This window comes from Homo sapiens, chromosome 8 (assembly GCF_000001405.40).
Source record: "Homo sapiens chromosome 8, GRCh38.p14 Primary Assembly".
Classification (NCBI taxonomy): domain Eukaryota; kingdom Metazoa; phylum Chordata; class Mammalia; order Primates; family Hominidae; genus Homo; species Homo sapiens.
The window spans coordinates 134,735,215-134,755,620 of NC_000008.11; the positions used below are offsets into that span (position 1 = coordinate 134,735,215).

The window sequence follows — 20,406 nt, forward strand, 5'->3', positions numbered from 1 at the left end:
AAAATTTTGTTGATCTGGGCATTTTTCCTAGCAAGAGCTCCCAAGCTTTCCTCTAAGCCTGAAAGGGTTGTGTGACCCTTGACACTGGTGCCATGGCCAAATCCTCCCAAGAGTCACTGAAGTCTTTTCCCCAAAAGCTTACACATGGGAAGTAGCAGCATTGAGGCTAGCACTGGGATTGGAGGGCAGGCTATAGCTGATCCTATGTCCAATCAAATGAAGATTTCCTTTTACAAAACACTTTATTTACAAAAATTCAAAATGAAGGAAAAAAATGGCCATCTTTGACAGTACTTGACTATTTGGTATTTCCATTAAAACAGCAGTTCCAACTGGCTTTTTCTTAAGTAGGTGTGTGTGTTTTCAATTTTATTCCCTTTTTTGACTTCCCATTGGGACTCCTCTGATACCTGAATCTAGAAGTGAAATGCTGAGAAACCAGTGCAACCTGAGTGAGTGGGATTGTGTTTCATTTTTTGTTTTTGTTATAAAATGAAATTAAATCACTCATGAGGCCTCTAATAGAGATTTAAATGCATATAAGCTTATACTTCACTATGACAGTATTATACCATTTCCACCCAAGCAAAGCTGACCCTATGAGCCCAGTAGGTTAAAATATATTTTTCACTAATGCTAGTGTTACGCAAAATAAAGCACAAGTTGGGATTTTTTAGAATTTAAAAAAAAGGTCTAACATTATTGAATATTACCTGTAAATCCATCATGGATATATACACTTTAGAATCATTTCAAGTGGCAGGACATCAGCTCCAAAGAGTCAAGCAGGCAAGGTTAAGGCCCAGCCACCTGTCCTGGAGGGAAACTGGAGTCTCAGCAGCCCTAAAAGATGGCCGAGGAGTAGGGATCAAGGCTCAGTGGGTCCCAAATGTTAGAACTGAAGTCCATCAACAGCGAGATTCAGGGAGAGGGGAGCCAGCCATGGGCCCCAGTTACTAAAATGGAAGTACATATGTAGGGAATGAAGAAGGGATGGGATAGAGAATAAATAAAAACGACCACACCCCAGCAACCTACTGCAGGTGGCCTTGTTTATTCTTCCCTCTGCTGACTGGCCCTTTCTTCGTGAGTTATAAGTGACCCTCATGACGACCTTTCATGTGCAAAGTAGATATGTTCACATATCAGAGGTTTCGGGGATGCAACCAAACACATCAGGGTGTGACATGGTGGCCCTGCCTGCCATCTGACAGCTCCATTTCAACAAAGTTGTCATCTTTGTTATACAAACATTATGGAATGCAAAATTAAGTATTATTTGATAGTGATGGCTTCCACACAGCCGCACAGAGCAAGGTTTGCATAGACTGGGCTCCAGGTCCCCCAAAGCCTTTTAACATGTGCCATTCTCTCTCTCTCTCTCCCTCTCTCTCTACTGGGTCTTGCTCTTTCACACAGGTTGGAGTATGGAGTGCAGTGGTGCAATCACAACTCACTGCAGCCTCAACCTCTCAGGCTCAAGTGATCCTCCCACCGCAGCCTCCTGAGTAGTGGGGTGCGTACCACCACACCCAGCTAATTTTTTTTATTTCTAGATACAAAGTCTCGCTATGTTTCCCAGGCTGGTCTCAAACTCCTGGGCTCAACCAATTCTCCCACGTCAGCCTCCCAAAGTGCTGGGATTACAGGCATGAGGCACCATGCCAGGCCTGAGCCATTCTTCTCTTATTGGATTGTATATAGAGGTTCTGCGTAGGCTTTCATTTAAAGAAAAGGTTCTGCTGTTAGACCAACTTTTGTTTAAAATGTAAAAACATAGTTCTGGCCAGGCGTGGTGGCTCACGCCTATAATCCCAGCACTTTGGGAGGCCAAGGCGGGCAGATCACCTGAGGTCAGGTGTTCGAGACCAGTCTGACTAACATGGAGAAACCCCGTCTCTACTAAAAATACAAAATTAGCTGGACGTGGTGGCGCATGATTGTAATCCCAGCTACCCAGGAGGCTGAGGCAGGAGAATCGCTTGAACCTGGGAGACAGATGTTGTGGTGAGCCGAGATCACGCCACTGCACTCCAGCCTGGGCAACAAGAGCAAAACTCCATCTCAAAAAAAATGAAAATAAAAATAAAAATAAAAAAATAAAAATGTAGTTCTGTTGTACTCTCCACAATTATTACCTTATGAAAATAAATGGAGTGAGGGAATGAAAATACTGGCATGAATAGTAAGATGCTGGCTGGTCAAAAGCAGCAGCTTCCTAAGCCCAAATGCTGTTGCTCTTCAAACTTAAGCCAGGGCTCTGTGTGTTCAGTCATGGGGGCTGGGAGGACAAAGTTCAAGGGATACAAAAAGTGGGGAAGGTCAAAGCAAAGAGTAATTAGGTGATACAGCACCTTTCTAACATTTGATTCTCAGGACACATCTTTAGGACCTTATTGCAGGTAAAACTTAGGACTGCCCAGCTAGGTCAGGGGTTGCAGTGGGGAGTACCCTGACTCGGATAGTGAGGAGCTAAGGCTAATGAATTAATTTTAACCTCAAATCAGGATGGACCTGGGAATCCATCAGTTGATGAACCTAGCATCATGGGTGGTGACATAAGGCAGGTCTGATACATCTACAACCAGAACCTCTATCTCTCGGCTCCTATCCAAGTCATTGTCTATGAGATTGGTGGGTTTTTCAATCCTGCTTAATTTATACCCCATCAATTATTTGAGAAATGAAGTTAAGTTTCCTTAAGAGAGAGACAAAAAGACCAGGAGATCTTTTTTGTGTCTGGAGATTGCTCTGCATTGTGCTACCATTAAGGTCTCTTCATGGTAAACGTGGGGCATCTCACTTCCTCTCATGACCCTTTGAGGACTGACATACCAAGGCTGAAATCACCTTGTCATTATCTCAGTTCCTGTAGTCTAGTGCTGCTTTTAGCTCAGTTCCTGTAGTCTAGTGTTACTTTTTGTGTTGATGCACATAAAATGATTTAGAGACCTAAATCATTTTGTGTGCATCAACAAAGAAAACAAACATCACAGGACTCAAGTTTCCTTGAATGGCCCCACCTAGCCTCCTCTCTCAATATCACCAAGCTTGGGGGTTGAAATCAGGCAGCCCTGGGTAGAATTCTGCGGCTGTCCCAACTCATGAGCTCTTGGACTTCTGGCAAGCCCAAATCTTCTGAGCTTCCATCTCATTATCTATAAAAGAAGATGAGTAAGGGTTATCTTGGGAGGAGCTTGTGAGGCTTAGCTTTTCATTTGATTATTAATCCATTCATGCATTCAAAATATTTGAGTACCAACTACGTACGAGAGTGAAGTACTAGACAAAACCAGACACAGCTCTTTCTTCCCAGAAATGTAGACTCTAAAAGGGGAGGTTGTCCTGAAAAGATATGACTTCGGTAAATGTGTACACTTGCAAACTGGAATCAATGCCATGAAGGAGGTGGGATGGCTCCAGGTAAGAGGGTGTGAGGTGTAGGGGGTGGAGGAATGTAGGGGTGCAGAGAGGGGAGGCACACTCAGGAAAGGACACCAGAGCTAATGAACGAGGAGGGGGAGGTAACTAGCAGGAAGCAGAGGGGCTGAATTCCAGGTAGACAGGACAGCATGTGCAAAGGCCCAGGGGGAGAGCCAAGCATGGTTAAGGAAATAATAAATAACAGAAGCCCAATTTGGCTGTGGAGCAGAGAACAGTGGGGAGAAGGTAAGACAAGGCACAGAACCTGTGCTCAGAAGCAAGCTTCCCTAGTCCTTTTAGGAAACCAGTCAAGGGGAAAAACAGCTGAGGCTGCTGAGAGTCACCCCAAATCAGCAACACCTTCAGGAGATACAGGATGGCATAGGACTCCAGGTGACAGAGTTTAAGATCAGCTTGAGAGGACAGAGCTGAGGCCACCCTCCTTCCCTTCCATTTATCTTGTGAATCCATCTGGGGCCGTTCTATATCACCTCAGAATGGATAATGCCATAGACCCCAGCTGGGTTTGCAACTTGTAAATATCTATTAGAAGACCACTCTCACTTTTTCATTCCACCTTGCCACCAGCCCAAAAGAAAAAACAAAGCAGCAAGTATCTACAGAGAAGCACTCAGTGGTGTGTGTAGAGATGTGTGTGTGTGTGTGTGTGTGTGTGTGTGTACACATGCATGTCTTTATGCATGCTCTTGAACCGGGATATGGGAGTAAGAAATGGAAGAGAAAATTGCAGGCAGCTGTAATCAATGAGAAGAACCAGGATTTGGAATTAGGAGATCTGATTCTGCTACTAGTTAGCTTCATAACCTAGGGCAGGTCATAGCCTCTCTCTGTCTTATTTTGTTAACTTTTAAAATGAGGATAAAAGCAAGCCCATGCTGAAGTGTTGGAAGGCCCAGATTCATGCATTCTTTCATCTTCTGGGATGAAAAATACCACACTCTACAATGAGATGCAGAGATACAGGATATAGCCTTTGCCCTTAAGGAGCTCCCAGTCTAGGTCCTAGACTCTAGGAAGAGAGATAAACAATGAACAAGGAAATAGATAATTACAAAGAAATGTGATGGGCATGGAACAGAAAGAAACCATAGGGTCTGATGGGACTACAGATGGAGGCAGAGTGTAGCAGAGGCTGAGGACTCCCCACCATTTCAACGGAAGGTACCAGCAGTTTCTTGCCTGGGGGCTTTCTCTGGCCACTGGAGACCACTTTGCCCTGCAGGCTGGTAGTGAGAAGGAATTAATGTCCTCCTGAGCAGCTGTCTGCCTATGGATGACCATGGTGTGTCAATACCCAGCTTCCTCATGCCTTGGGGGAGATAACTCCAAGGTGAGTGTCTCCACCCTATTTCTCAGAATCCCCCCAGCAGAACCAAGTGTCAGTTGTCTACCAGATGACTTGCTCAGTTGATCCCTTTACTGACTTTTCCCCTTCTCATTTCATCTCCCCACTCCCTTTCCAATACTCTGTGGGGTTCTGTCCCAATAAACTCCTAACACTCAAACCCTTGTCTCGGGGAAATCCACTCTCAGACGGGAGGCACCCATTCCCTTCTAGGAAGAGTGAGTGAGGTAGAATTCGCAGGAAGAGTGGCATCTGAACTGAGCTCCTGAGAGCCTGAAGGCAAACACACTTAACCATCCTAAGTGCTAGACATGGGTAAGGAGCCAGAATTAGCATTGTCAATGGAAGGTGAAAGTGAACTTGTGCTACCCACAGCGTGGTCCTGGAACAAATGCTGGTCCCTAAACAATGAATTACTGGTTTAATTACTCAAACTTTCTGTTTGAGTAAGCATTGGCCTGCAACAGATTAGAAATTAAACAAAACAAGCAAAGCTTTATTACAGATAGTTTGACCACAGTTTAGAACACCTAGTTCCCTTCTTACGCATGTTTTTTTTTCTGTTGTCATGTCCACAAGCAAAATAAGTGGTGCTTTGTCCCAAGTCTTTTCCAGGATAGGTCAACCTAGAGAAAAAACAAAGCACAAGGGCCGCTCACATGGAATTTAGCCTTAGGCTTCCAGAACCATGGAATGTTCTGGCCTTTGGAAGGACCTCTGGCCTCCAGCTTGCCAAAGACTCAGAGCTCATGTGCTTCTCCCTCAGCAGGGCTAGGCACAGCCTATTCATTACTCTGGTACAGCCAACCAACAAGCTCAAGAAGCTAATCAGTAAGACAATGTCTAGAAGACTGAGCCCCATAACATAAGATGAAAGGGGCTGTGGCATTTCATCTACCAGATCCAGCTTGTCAACACCACTTTGAATATGTTTTTGAGAGCAGGTAGGAAAGTCATTAAACTTGATGTGCGCCCTTTCTCCCTCCCTTTTCCCTCTACCATAACCAACAGAACCCAAGCCCTACAAAGGGTAAGTGCTCAAGAAAGTTCTGAAGTGAATCAATAAAAATCATACTATGATTTGTGTTTTAAATTCAGAGCCCCTCCACCTATATTGACTCCTTCCCATCAGAATTCAAACATACCCAAGTTCTCACCTCTCAAAAAACATAACCCCACTTATCCAGCTCCTACTCCCCATCTCGCCCCCACCCCTCATAGACAAAGTTCTTGAAAGAATGATCTTTTAACTTCATATTGGCTCACGTTGACCTCTCAAATCCTCTCCTCTGGCTTCTGCTCCAGTACTTCTCTGAAACTGCTCCAGCCAGGCTCTCCAACAACCTTCTGGTCCTTAAATGAACACTTCTCGGAGTTGGGATTGTACTTGCCTTCTCAGCAGCGTTGGGTTCTTACTGGGTACGAATACTCTTCTATTCTTTACTCTTTTTCTTGGCTCTCATGACATCACCGTTTTCACATTTCCTTTCCACGCCCTGGACTGTCCACCTCAGTTGGCTTTGCCAGCCTCTTCTTTTCTGGCTGTTTCTTAAATGTGGATGCTTCCCAGGACTTTTTCCCATGTCTCTGTTCTCACCATACACAGTCTTCCTGGGTAACAGAGACATGGACTGTGGATTCAATTACCATCTATACGCTGAGGCCTCCTAAAGCCACACCCAGTCCAGACCTTCCTTCTTAGCTCCAGACTCATACACTCTGCCTACTTGGTTGTGTCACTGACACCCAAAAAGGAACACACCCAAATCTCACTCAGCATCTGCACCAAATTTACCTCTCATGCTCCAGCCCTGATGCCAGTAGAATGGCAATACCTTTCCACCAGTCACTTGAAAAAAAAAAAACAAACCAAGGATACATCTTCACTTCTCTGCCTCCCCAGTCCCCTCTCCCTGATCAGCAAGTCCTTCAGAGTTCCCCTCCTCAACACCTCTTCACCTGCGTACTTCTCCCCAGCCCCACTCCTGAGAACTGTGCCTCATCAGTTTCCTCTAGGACCATGGGAACAGCCCTAACCAAGCTCTCTCTGCTCCCCTCTGTCTTGCTATTTCCAATCCAGTCTCCTCTCTGCAACCTGATAAATTTTTCTCAAAAGGGTCTTTGAAGCTTCATTTATTTATTGCTGTGTCAGATCATTTCTTTTTTTTTTTTTAATTTTACTTTAAGTTCTGGGATACATGTGCAGAACATGCAGGTTTGTTACTTAAGTATATATGTGCCATGGTGGCTTGCTGCACCTATCAACCCGTCATCTAGGTTATATCAAGCTTTATTTTTAAAGGAGACCTGTCTTACTAAATTAAGCCTTCCCAGAACCGCTGGGTCAACCAGGTGAGAGCAGCAATGCTTTGGAGACACAGCGCAGGTGCCATCATGAAGCCCTCATCCCCTCCTCTCTCCCATCTCAGAGGAAACTTTGGGCTGTACAGAACTGTGTGAAAATCACAGTCCTCGGGGTTCAATCTGGCCACATTGATCTCCTTTTTAAAATGCTCCAAGTCACCCATTATCCTCTGATCAGATTCCTGAGCACAGTGGCAAGACTTCCCAGGACCTGGCTCCCACCTCTCTCCAGACTCGCATCCGCCCAGCCCCTCGGCTCTCTGCTACCACGCAATTATTTCATTCCTGAGCTCATCGTTCTCGCACTGCAAGTCTGTGAGCTCTGGCCCCCTGTGCTCCCTTCCCTCTCTTCCTGGAGCTAACTCCTGCTCTAGTCCTTCTGGTCTCAGCTCTGATGCCATATCCCAGACCTTCTGGAGCTGGGCTAGGGTATCACATAGCACATCAGGCTCTCCACTCTGGCCCTGAGTGGCGGTTGCAGTTAAGGAGCTGAGCTCCCCTCCAGCAAGCTCTAAGGGGAGGGCCCTCCTGCCAGCGCCTCACCCAGAGGTCTGGGAGCCTGACACCCATTCAGTGCACGCCCCAAGTGTGCCTCTGTCTCAGGTCCACGTTAGACTTGCCCATTCACAAAGTCCATTGGACTGTCACAACTGCTTCACCCCAGTTGACAGGTGTGAAAGAGTGACACATAATCAAGACTACACAAAAAGTGGCCGATCCATGACTGAAACACGTGGTGAAACCATCTCTATGCCCTTGCAGGTCTCATCACGATTGACTGCAAAGCCTCACTGGTTTGGGTTAATTGTGGCAAAGGCCAATCTAAATTAAGGAAAATGTGCCAGGTGTGGTGGCTCATGCCTGTAATCTCAACACTTCGGGAGGCAGAGGTGGGTGGATCACTTAAGGTCAGGAGTTCAAGACCAGCCTGGCCAACATGGTGAAACCCCGTCTCTACTAAAAATACAAAAATTAGCTGGGTCTGGTGATGGGCGCCTGTAATACCAGCTACTCGGGAGGCTGAGGCAGGAGAATAGCTTGAACCTGGGAGGTGGAGTTTGCAGTGAGCTGAGATCACACCATTGCACTCCAGCCTGGGCGACAGAGTGAGACTCCATCTCAAAGAAAAAAATTTAAAAAAATAAAAAATAAATGAAGGAAAATGTCATTATACTTTAAAAATATATACAACTTATTGTTATCAGTGACATACCTAATTGCAGCAAAGTGTTTCTTGGAAGAATCACTTTAGGGAACAGCTAAGAAGTCTTTGTAATCAGCCTGCTGGTTATTTGTAAAATAGTGCTTTTCACAGTCTCACAGAGTCTCACCTGGGGAGGGGAAGAGGGGGTTTGGAGATTGCTTTGCCCCAGAAGCGTCTGTCTCTCCTCAGCCTGGGCACCAGCCTGCCCAGTCACAGCGAGAAGAGAACCCACTTATCCACCTTTTCCTACTTGCCAGGCTCCTGGGGAGGCAAATCTCCACCCAGGGCTGCCAGAATTAAGACTGCCTTTCTTTTCTGGCCAAAAGGGCACACTGGTTTCTTATTGCAATGGCATAGAACATGTGGCTATCACGAGAGGGTGACAAGGACAGGCCAAACAGGTTTCTTGCTCCTCCGTTTGTTTTCTATTGCTACATAACACATCACTGCAAACTTAGTGACTGCAAGCTACACAAATTTATTATCTCACACTTTCCATGGGTCAGAAGTCCGGGCATGAGTTAACTGAATTTTCTAGTCAGGGTCTCACCATTTTAATGGGTAGTTGCTCTGCATTCCCCTCTGAGGCTCAAGGTCTTCTTCCAAGCTCACTGGTGGTTGGCAGAATTCATTTCCTTATGACCGTATGACTGAGGCCCCCATCTTTTTGCAGGCTGTTGTTCTTGCTGGCTGTTGGCTGGAAGCAACTCCTAGAGGCTAAGAGTTTTTTTTTTTTTTTTTTGAGATGGAGTCTTGCTCTGTTGCCTAGGCTGGAGTGCAGTGGCATAATCTTGGCTCACGGCAACCTCTGCCTTGCAGGTTCAAGCAATTCTCCTGCCTCAGCCTCCTGAGTAGATGGAATTACAGGCACCCGCCACCATGCCCGGCTAATTTTTGTATTTTTAGTAGAGATGGGGTTTCATCACATTGGCCAGGCTGGTCTCAAACTCCTGACCTCAAGTGATCCACCTGCCCCAGCCTCCCAAAGTGCTGGGATTACAGACGTGAACCACTGCGCGCAGCCTGAAGGCTAAGAGTTCTTTGTCACATTGCTTTCTACACAGGCCCCCTCACAACAAAGCAGTTTACTTCTTCAAAGTCAGCAGGAAAATCTTTTGTACTTCAAATCTCTTCCTTCAGGAAGGGCCTACTCTCCTTTTTTTTTTTTTTTTTTTTGAGACGGAGGCTTGCTCTGTCACCTAGGCTGGAGTGCAGTGGCCTGATCTCGGCTCACTGCAACTTCCACCTCCTGGGTTCATGCCATTCTCCTGCCTCAGCCTCCCAAGTAGCTGGGACTACAGGCGCCCGCCACCAGGCCCGGCTACTTTTTCGTATTTTTAGTGGAGATGGGGTTTCACCATGTTAGCCAGGATGGTCTCGATCGCCTGACCTCGTGATCCGCCCACCTCGGCCTCCCAAAGTGCTGGAATTACAGGCGTAGCCACCGCGCCCGGCCAGGAAGGGCCTACTCTCTTGTAAGGGCTCGTCTAATTTGCTCAGGATAATCTCCTTTTGATTAACCCTATGTCACCTGATTTGGTACATCAATTATATCTGCAAAATCCCTTCACCCCTTTACCTAATTGTGGGAATGAAATCTACCACATTTACAGCCCTGCTCACACTTGAGGGAAGGGAATCATATGGCATGTTCACCAGGGGTGGAGCCTGGAATTCTGTCTACCACGGTTCCCTGGTCTAACTCCTTAAGACGTGCAATGCCAAGCAGGATCCAGGTATCCTTGCACTGCTCTTGCCATCTGCTGGGTGGGATTCTGCAATGGTTAAGACAGTCCTGGACCCTAAAGCTGGCCTAGCTTGCTTGGTTTCGAATGCAGAAAGGTTCTGCCCTGAGTCTACAGCTGAGTGAATGTTCCAGTAAGGAGGTGGGAGAGGTAATGGTCAAAGCTGGGTTAAGACTTTATTACTTTCTCTATGACAGAGAAAGGGAAAAGAGGAGTTAGTGAGGACATGAGATCACAATGTTCTTTGACCTATTTTGGTTAGCAAAAAGTGCCGTGGACTCCCCAGTTTCACAGTGATGTTCAACATGGGCTAATGTGATTTCTAGGCAGAGGAGCTTTTATCAGATCATAAAAAGCCAAGGTTCAGGATTTTGCTTGCTGCCTTGCAGGTTTGCAATCTAAGGTCTCACTGAAGGGATTTCCTCAAGGGTTACCAATAATAGCATTACTTTATTTACTCATCCAAAACATCCTGTGAGATGAGTATATTATTATTATTATTCCCATTTTATAAGTATGGAAACTGAAGCTCAGAGAGGTTAAGTAACCTGCTTAGTCACGCAGCTATTTAGTATAGAAAGATGGGGTTGGTTGCAGTCTGTCTGGCTCCAAAGCCTTTGCTGGTTACCATTTATGAGGCAGTTTCTTAGTTTTTCACATCAGCCCCTTTGCCTGTGCTCTTCCTGCTCTCTGGGACTCTGCCTAATACTTTACAAGAAAGCCCCTTCCAGGTTTCATTGGCCCTGAGTGTAAAACTTCTTTAATTTGGAATCTACCATTATATTGATTTCCTCTCAATTCCGCTCTTTGCAGTACATTGAAAAAGCAACCAACCAACCAATCAATGAAAAGAACCTCCTCCTTTTGCAAGACATTCAAATGTTTAACAGCAGCTCTCATGTTCTCTCTAGGACTAAATCTTGCTAGGTTTTCTCACCATTCCTCACATGACTTGATTTCCTGATCATCTGTAATTCTATTTGCCCTCTGGTTAATCTTTGATTTATCATTTTCTGCTGAAAACAAGATGCCCCAAATTGAAGACTGTTTGTGCTATGTCTAAAACGTAGAACACCGCAAGACCATCACCCACCTGATATGGATACTATGGCTGTGTTAATGTACCCTAAAATCGCATTAGCTTTTTAAACAGCCAAATCACATTGTTGGCCCATATTTAAATTGCACTTGGCTAACACTTTGGGTCTTTCTCCACTAAACTAATGTCAAGCCACAGCCTCTCAATACTGACCTTGTGTTGCTGAACTTTTTTTTAACCTAGTTTTCATTTCCTTTCTGCCCTCTTTTGGAACATGTTCAAATCCTTGTAAGTCTGAATCTCCAATGCAGTGTCTTAGTTCTTCCCCCAGTGCTGAGTCATCTGTACAGTTCATAAGTAAGTTTTTTAGCTCTTCAGCCAGATATCAATCAAGTGTTACAATGGACGAGTTGAAGAGTAGAGTTATTTAAGGTTGTTATGACAAGTTAAATAACTGAACAATTAAAAATTGTTAATCCCTTAATTGAACTAGAATCCACGCTTTGTGAAAATTGAGCTATAATATGTCTGCGACATTCCCTTTATTCATGAACTTAGTGATTTCCTTAAAATGGAGATGAGATTAATGATAAATAATTTTCCCTAGAAAAGCTGTGCTGATTCTTAGTCACTACTACTGATTATAAACTACCTGTTAAAAATCAGAGCCTAATGTTTTATCAGGGATTGATACTATTATAATTTGTTCCTGGAATATGCCTTTTTTCTAAAGATCTTTTTTTTTCTTTTTGAGATAGGGTCTTGCTCTGTTGCCCAGGTTGGAGTGCAGTGGCATGATCATGGCTCACTGCAGCCTCGACCTCCCAGGTTCAAGTGATCCTCCCACCTCAGCCTCCCAAGTAGCTAGAACCACAGGCACATGCCACCACACCCAGCTAATTTTTAAAAATTTTTATACAGATGAGGTCTCACTGTGTTGCCCAGGCTGGTCTCAAACTCCTGGACTCAAATGATCCTCCCACCTCAGCCTCCCAAAGTGCTGGGATTACAGGCATGAGCCACTGCACTCAGCCTCTAAAGATCTTTAGAGTGTTTGAAAACCTTGTTTAAGCATCCTTTCTGAAATCTTATATAGATTATTAATTGGCTTATATGAATATTTTTCCTAATAGATTTTTAAAAAGCATTTAACACTATTCTTTTAATTTGAAATACCGAATCAGCAAGGTCCTAACAATGTCTCTAACTACTATTATTTATTACTCACATCCCTCCAAAATATAGCCAAATACACATAACAAGCTTGTGAAATACATTTATAGAACTTGTAACTGTGAAGAACAAATTTAGGTAAATCATGGCCTTCAGGTCAGCTGTGATGGAATCTAGGCCACTTGTTTTTCTTTGTTCTTATTTTGAGATAATCGTTTCCTCCCTTTTTTTACAGCCCTGTAATTTTGTGTATCTAATTCCTTTTTTATTATAATGAAGGCATCATCATCATATTACCGAGGAGACCAAAGACGTAAATTAATCTGAAGCATCTCTGGTCTCTGGGCTGGTGGATAGCCACCTGGGCTTTGGTCTTGATGAAGTCCAGAATTAATGAAATGTGGATAACAAGAATCAAAGCTTATTTCTGATAATAAATGTGCACAGTTTGTTCAGCTAGTTGGATCTGTCCATAATATCAGAAATATCTGGGGTTTCAGAAATATCTGGGGTTGTGGTAGTTTTTAAAGTATTTTTTAATTTAACATATATTACTTAGACAAGTGCATAAAATTTATATGTACAGTTTAACATATGGTAGTTAAGTGAAGACCCAAGCAATCATCCCCCAGGCCAAGAAACAGAACATTAAGAGCAACACAGAGGTCCTCTCTCTATTCCTTGCTTTAATAACAACCCCCTCTTCCACCCTCCAGAAGTAACCACTTGCCTTTTATAGTAATAATTTCCTCACTTTTCCTTGTAGGTTTATTGCCTGAGGATGCATCCCTAAACTGTGTGTATTTGTTTTACATGGTTCTAGACTATTTAAAAATGGAACTGTATTGTATTATTCTTTGAAACTTAATTTTTTTCCTCAACATTTCATATTCATCACATTGTTGCATTAAAACTGATTTGATTTGCTTATTTTCCTGCTGTAATCTATGGTATGAATATACCATATCATGGGCATTTTGTTTGTTTCTGGTTTTCGGTAATTACAAAAAGACAAATGTTGCTTTAGACATCCTTTTACACTTATCTTAGTGAATGTACGTATGAGTATCTCTAAAAAACATGGAATATTCAACTTCACTATACAACGCGACACTGTTCTCCACAGCAGGTTTACTGATTCACATTCTTATCATCAGGATTATGAGTTTCTAAATCTCCACATCCTAGCCAACACGCAGTATTGTTAGTCTTTTTAATTTTTACCAATCGCAGGTGTGTAGTTGTATTATGTTATAATTTTAATTTGTATTCTCCTGATTAACATTGAGGTTGAGCACTTTTCATATGTTCTTTGGCCATTTTAATATCTCTTCTTGTGAGGTACATGTTCAAGTCTTTGCCTATTTTTTTTCCTATCAGGTTTTCTGCCTTATTTATTTTTAATATTTCTCATATATTCTGTATGCTAGCCCTTTTAACCTATTTCTTGTTTAGAAAAAGAAAAAAAAGTGCAGCCTACTGCCAGTGCTCATTTCTCGGGGCAAATGGGAAATGGGTTAAAAAATTATATATGTTACAAATGTGTCCTCCCACTCTGTGGCTTGTATTTTAACTCTTTTTGTGGCATCTTTTGAAGAATGGAAATTTTAATTTTTACTATAACCAATTTACAACTTTTCCTTTGTGTTTAGTGTTTTTTCTCTCTACATAAGATATCTACTCCAAAATTATTAAGATATTCTCTTATACTACCTTCAAAAGCTTAGTATTTAGCCTTTCACAGTAGATCTTTGTCTTGATCCATTCAGCTACTGCAACAATACATCTTAGACTGGGTAATTTATAAACAACAGAAATTTATTGCTCATGGTTCTGAAGGCTGGGAAGTCCAAGATCAAGTTGCCAACAAGTTTGGTGTATGGTGAGGGCCTGTTCCTCATGGACAGTGCCTTCTATGTATTCACATGGTAGAAGGGGCAAGGGAGCTCAAGCCTCATTTATAAGGGCATTAATACCACTCTTGAGGGTAGAGCCCTCATCAATCACCTCCCAAAGGCCCCATCTTCCAACACCATCAGATTGGGTATCAGGCTCCAACATATGAATTTTGGGGGGACACTAACATTCAGACCAAAGCAGTCTTCAATCCACTTGGAACTGATTTTACATACAGTATGAGGAAGGAATAAAATCTCAATGTTTCCAATATGAACAATTTCCGGTTGTTCCATTATTATTTATTAAAAATGTTATCCTTTACCTATAGCCACTTCTGTCATAGATCAAGCCCATGTATGTGAAATCTAAGTTCTCTATTCTGTTTCATTGCTCAATTTTTATTTTATTGTATTTTTCCCCTCATTTTCTATACTCTAGAGGAACTACTTGCAGCCTGTTTTTAAAATCTTTGCATAAATACCACATCATCTTGATAACTAAAATACTGTAATGTATCTTGATATCTGATAAAACAAATCCTTCTACATTTTTCTTTTTCTTCAAAAAGTAGCTTCTCAAATTCTACAAAATAAAATCAATTGGAATTTTGATTGGGGTTGTGTCAAATCTACAGATCAGTTTCGGAGGAACAAACATTTTAAAAATATTCATTTTTCTATTCCATGAACATGGTATAACTCCTTTATTTGGATATTTTAAAATATCTCTCAGTAAGTTTTAATTTTTCACCTTTAGAGGCCTTCTGCATCTTTTCATAGATCTATTCCTAAGTAATTAATGCTTTTTAAATTATATTACGATTGGTATCTCTTTTTAAATTCTACTTTTAACTGTGTTTTTACTGGAATAGAGAAATACAATGTTTTTTGTATACTGGTATTTTTGTTATCAGTAATAGTTTAGCTGTAGTTTTTTGGATTTGTTAATGTATATATAATAGCATCTAAGAAAAATGATAGTTTTTTCCTTACAACTCTTGTGCCTTATATTTATGTGTCTTCCTTATTTCACTGGATAGGCCCTCCAGTACAACATTGACTAGAAGTACAGACTTGCTCCTAATCTCAAATTGAAATATTTTTTTTAAAAATAATTATTTATATGTTTTAAATGGCAAATAAAAAACTGTATATATTTATGATCTAAAATATGTTGTTTTGAAATATGTAAAGCTGGGCATGTTGGTGCATGCCTGTAGTCCAAACTACTCAGGAGGCTGAGGTGAGAGGATTGCTTGAGCCTGGGATGTTGAAGTTGCAGTGAGCCGTGATTGCACCACTGCACTCCAGCCTGGATGACAGAGCGAGACCCTGTCTCAAAAACAAACAAAAATGTATATATACATTGTGGAATGGCTAACTCAAGCTAATTAACATATGCACCAAAGGAAAATCTTTTAACGTTCTATCACGTACTATAAGATTTGCTGATAATTTTATGTTGATGTTTTATCAAATTAAAGGAGTTTCTTTCTATTTCTAGCTACAAAGGAGATATATAATGAATGTCACCTAATGCTTTTTCTGCATCAACCAAGATGATCATTTAATTTCTTCTTTAGCAGGTAAATGTAGCAAATCACATTAATTTATTTTCAATAAATGTATTTTTATTTAACACTTGCTAAATACATTTTTTTTTCAGGTTCCAGACTTAAACAATTAACTGCAGCAGGAAAGAGCAGAACATGGGTGGATGGGACCTGAAATATACCTACTCAAAATGACAAGCAGGGTTTTGAAACTTCTCTCCCACTCTAAGTGCTGAAAGGAGGCTGTAGTTGAGTTGGGATTCAAGTGGTCTGAAAACAGGTTGCCATCCTGGAAGCACTTTTCACTGGGGTCAGGGGGCTCCAAGACCAAGTGCTGGGGAATCCTAATGGACAGATAACATCAAGGACGAAGGTCCTCAGCAGGTTCAGAACCCTTAAAAGTGCTGGATCAGGACACCAGTCGGGATACGTGGGTTGGGGCAGGAGGAAGAGAATTGACAGGAACAAGGCAGAGACCCAGTCCAAAACTGGGACAGCAGCATGAACTTGTGACCAACACTGGAACCACAGTAAAATGTGAGCTATTAGAAGAGAACACTACATCAGAATCTGAAAAATAGTAAAAGTGACCCAGAGAGATGTAATTGGAACTACTTAAATCTTTTATCTCACATGAGGATTGATTTTAGGAGCTGGAAGTAGGGCTGTACCTGCAAAGACAGATCAAGTAGCACCAGGTGGGGGAATGTGAAGGCAGTTGGGGATTGAGATAGACTGGGCTGCCTGAAAAACTTAAAATCCCTAGAAAAGGAGGCCTGGACATGGTTTGAAGCTCAGACCTGGAAAATATAAGAGAGAGAGAAGTAGCATGAGTTTGGTCACATTAGCCTAACCCAACTCTTTCCAGAGGAAGCTGATTCATTCAAAGCCCAGTGCTACAGAAGACCATTTCCCTCGATACACTATGAAATGAGAACATGTCCCTTGCACACCAGGGAATCCACCTGGCTCATGGTAGACTTAGTACATGTTTGTTGAATTCTTGAACTAGCTGGAGTGCCCTGGACACATTTCTTTTTTTCTCTTCACTCCTCAATTTCTTCCTCTACCAAATGAGGGGGTTAGGCTAGATCAACTCTAAGATCTCCGTTAACTTTGTCCTCCTTCATTCCTAGTGCTTTGCATTCTTTCAGGCCTTCATCACTGCTCACCTTTGCAGATCTCCTAGCTGGGACCCCTGCTTTCTGCCTTGCCCACCCCACACTGCTGTCTGAGCTCTCTCTAACATCTTAATCTATGTTACTCCTTTCCTAAAACCATTCAAACACCAGCCTCTGTGGCCAAAAGTCAAACTTCTGAACCTGCCACAAAAGGCCCTACATGTGCCAGCCTCTGCAGTCCTCTCTTCTGTCCAGTGACTTACCTCACATGGCACCCCCGCCCTTGAGCCATCTTGAACAACTTAGAGTTCTTCAGATGTCTCTATTGACTGTTATTGTTCTATAAAATGGGGATATTTACAAGGCTGTCATGAAAAGCAAATAAGAAATGTGGAAACAAATTCTAAATGATCTATTTAGATAACTAATTACCTAATAACATCTCAAATGTTAAGACTGATGGATCCTGAGTGTGTTAAGTCAGCTTGGGCTGCTAAAACAAAATCCCACAGACTGGGTGGCCTGAACAAAAGACATTTATTTCCCACAGTTCTGGATGCTGGAAAGTCCAAGATCAAGGTACTGGCAGGTTTGATGTCTGGTGAGAACTCACTTCCAAGCTTGTGCACAGCCATCTTTATGCAGCACGCTCACATAGCAGAGAGGGAGGGCATGCATGTGAGCCAGCATGCATGTCTTCCGGTGTTTCTTCTTATAATCCGATTATAAGGGCCCCGCCCTCAGGACTTCATCTAAGCCCAAGTACCTCCACAAGGCCCCATCTCCAAATACCATCACACAGGAGGTTAGGGCTTTAACAGATGAATTTGGGGGTGGGGGAAGATATAATTCAGCCCATAACACTGAGCAAAGGGATTATGGTTGATAGTGACTTTTGGTATCCAGTGTCCTGCTCCAGTAGAGCACCTATGGTATCAGGAAGTTCATGTTCAAAACAAGGTATTCTCTGTGTAAAAAACTACCTATTTTTTCAGGAGGCTGAGGTGGGAGGATCGCCTGAGTCCAGATGTTCGAGGTTACAATGAGGTGTGATCGCACCACTGCACTCCAACCTGGGCTACAGAGTGAGTCCCTGTCTCTAAAAAAAACAACACAAAACCAACGAACCAACCAACAACAACAACAACAAACCTATCTATTTTGGGGGGGCAGAGGGAGGGTGGTAGGAATAGAAGAGAAAGTTGAGGATTGTTGGGAAATTAGGAGGGAGAGACAGGCAAAAGCCAATTCATGGAGGGGTCCTGTATTTACCAAAAAAAGGTGAATTATAACTTATGAATGACTAGGATCATGAGGAAACAGGTTCACTGACACACTCGCACATGACTGGCTGTTAGCTTTAAGAGGTATTTAAATTCTCCCCCTAATGATCTTACTTTTGGGAATTTATCCTAAGAAAATAATCCAAAAGATCAGGAGAGGTATGTGTCCAAAGATATTTATTACATTATTTATGATGATAAAAACTGGAAGTAACTCATAGTGGAATAGTTAAGTAGTTATTAGCTAAAGAGTTTCTGAATGAACCAATAAATGCTTGTTGAGTATAAAGTAAAAATGAGAACAGTGAAGTCCAGGTTCACAGAATGGAAAAATCTATGAAGTAAAATAAACAAAATATTAAATTATAGCTATATAACACTGCAACTATATAAATACAGTGAAAAAACAGACAACACTAGAAGTAAATATAGATTAAAATGACAACAGACTATTTGTTACGGTGGCGTAATTATGTGCCACTAAGATATTATGCTTAAAAAGACACTGCCTTTTTGAAAATGAAAAAACAACCAGTCCCGCACAAGGTAATCTGGCTGGCCTGTCTGCAGCACAGCCTCACAAAGTAGCCTTTGTTTGTCCCAGCCTGAATCAACACTTGGCTTTCAGTAACACAAGTGAATTGATGAAATATTTGGGGTCAATATAGTGGAAAGAAGTATTTGTTTTATAATGAAGCCCAGAACAATGGTGACTGGGGAAGCAGGGTGAAAAAGGAAGAGGATTTAAACTGCTAAATGAACTACACGCTCCAGGCCAAAGCATCCATTATCGCCTACAGGCAGGATGAGAAACAGAGTCCTTGTGAATAAATAAACCAAAGGGAACCTAAACCATCAGATGATGCCCGAGCAGAACTATGTTTACCCTCACTTAGAACAAATACTGAGGAGAAAGAGAAGCAGATATTTGGCAACAGTTATGACATTACTGGATTTATAGCTCATCTAGTAATAAGTTTCCTCAAAGGAGAGTTGTCAAATTTCAGAGCTGGATAAGGGGACCAAGGTCAAAAGGGGTAGGTGATTAGGCCAAGGTCGTCCAGTCAGTATACAGCATGGGAATATAAACATGGGCTGCCGGTCACACAGACTGCATGTCCAACTCCAGGACTGCCCCTTCCCAGCTATGTCTTAATCAAGCATTCCCTCAAACAGATATTAAGACAACGTGTGTCTCAAACAAGTCACTCAGTCTTGCCTGCCGTCAATTTTCTCACCTGTAAAATAGTAGGAGGCCTCTGCTGTGGTCCTCTGTGGCTGTCCACCCACCTCACCCTTCTTCAAAACACCCAGAAGAGCCACCTGTCACCAACCCTTAGCCCATGGGCTCTGAATAGGCCCTGAGCCCAAGAGCACATCATATTCTCAGGGACTTGGGTGCTGGGTCAGGAAGGATGTGGGACCCAATGAGAGGTGCTGAGGGGTGAGATCTCGGCAATGACAAAGGATGCAGCAAGTCCTCTTCGCCAATGGCTTCAGCTGCCATGACCTCCATCTTGGCCAACACACGCAGTCAAAGAACAGAGCCAAGAGATGGGAGATGGAGAAAGCGGGTCTCGGAGATAGGGCAAAAATCGCAGAACCAAGTTATTCCTGAAGCCAGCCTTACCTTTTTGGTTGTTGAGCCAATATATTCCTTTTTTTCTGTTGGTGTTTGTTTTACCTAAGCAAGTGTGAGGGATTTTTGCTTTCATTTTTTATTTCAATAGCTTTTGGGGGCTGGGCGTGGTGGCTCACGCCTGTAATCCTAACACTTTGGGAGGCCGAGGCAGGCGGATTGCCTGAGCTCAGGAGTTCAAGACCAGCCTGGGCAACATGGTGAAACCCCGTCTCTACTAAAATACAAAAAAAAAAAAAAAAATGCCGGGCGTGGCGGCATGTGCCTATAGTCCCAGCTACTTGGGAGGCTGAGGCAGGAGAAATGCTTGAACCTGGGAGGTGGAGGTTGCAGTGAGCCAAGATCGTGTCTCTGCACTCCAGCCTGGCGACAGTGAGACTCTGTCTCAAAAAAAAAAAAAAAAAAGCTTTTAGGGTGTAAGTGGTTTTTGGTTACATGGATGAATTACATAGTGGTGAATTCTGGGATTTTACTGAGTTCTTTTTGGCTTAAGATAGTTGGATTTCCTGCCTGGTGCGGTGGCTCATGCCTGTAATCCCCGCACTGTGGGAGGCTGAGGCAAGCAGATCACCTGAGGTCAGGAGTTCAAGACCAGCCT

The 20,406-nt window shown here is 42.7% G+C and overlaps 1 protein-coding gene across 1 annotated transcript in view, besides 1 other annotated feature; it reads right to left on the minus strand.

Annotated features, from left to right (window-relative positions):
- Window positions 1-20,406, minus strand: part of ZFAT (zinc finger and AT-hook domain containing) — a 354,552-nt gene that overhangs the window by 257,427 nt on the left and 76,719 nt on the right. The gene's annotated exons all lie outside the window — the stretch shown is intronic.
- Window positions 2,933-2,982: an enhancer, noted in NCBI's record as "active region_28022". NCBI's record gives its function as "activates an Ori minimal core promoter by ATAC-STARR-seq in GM12878 lymphoblastoid cells {active_cell/tissue: GM12878}" and the evidence as "EXISTENCE:reporter gene assay evidence [ECO:0000049][PMID:35858748]".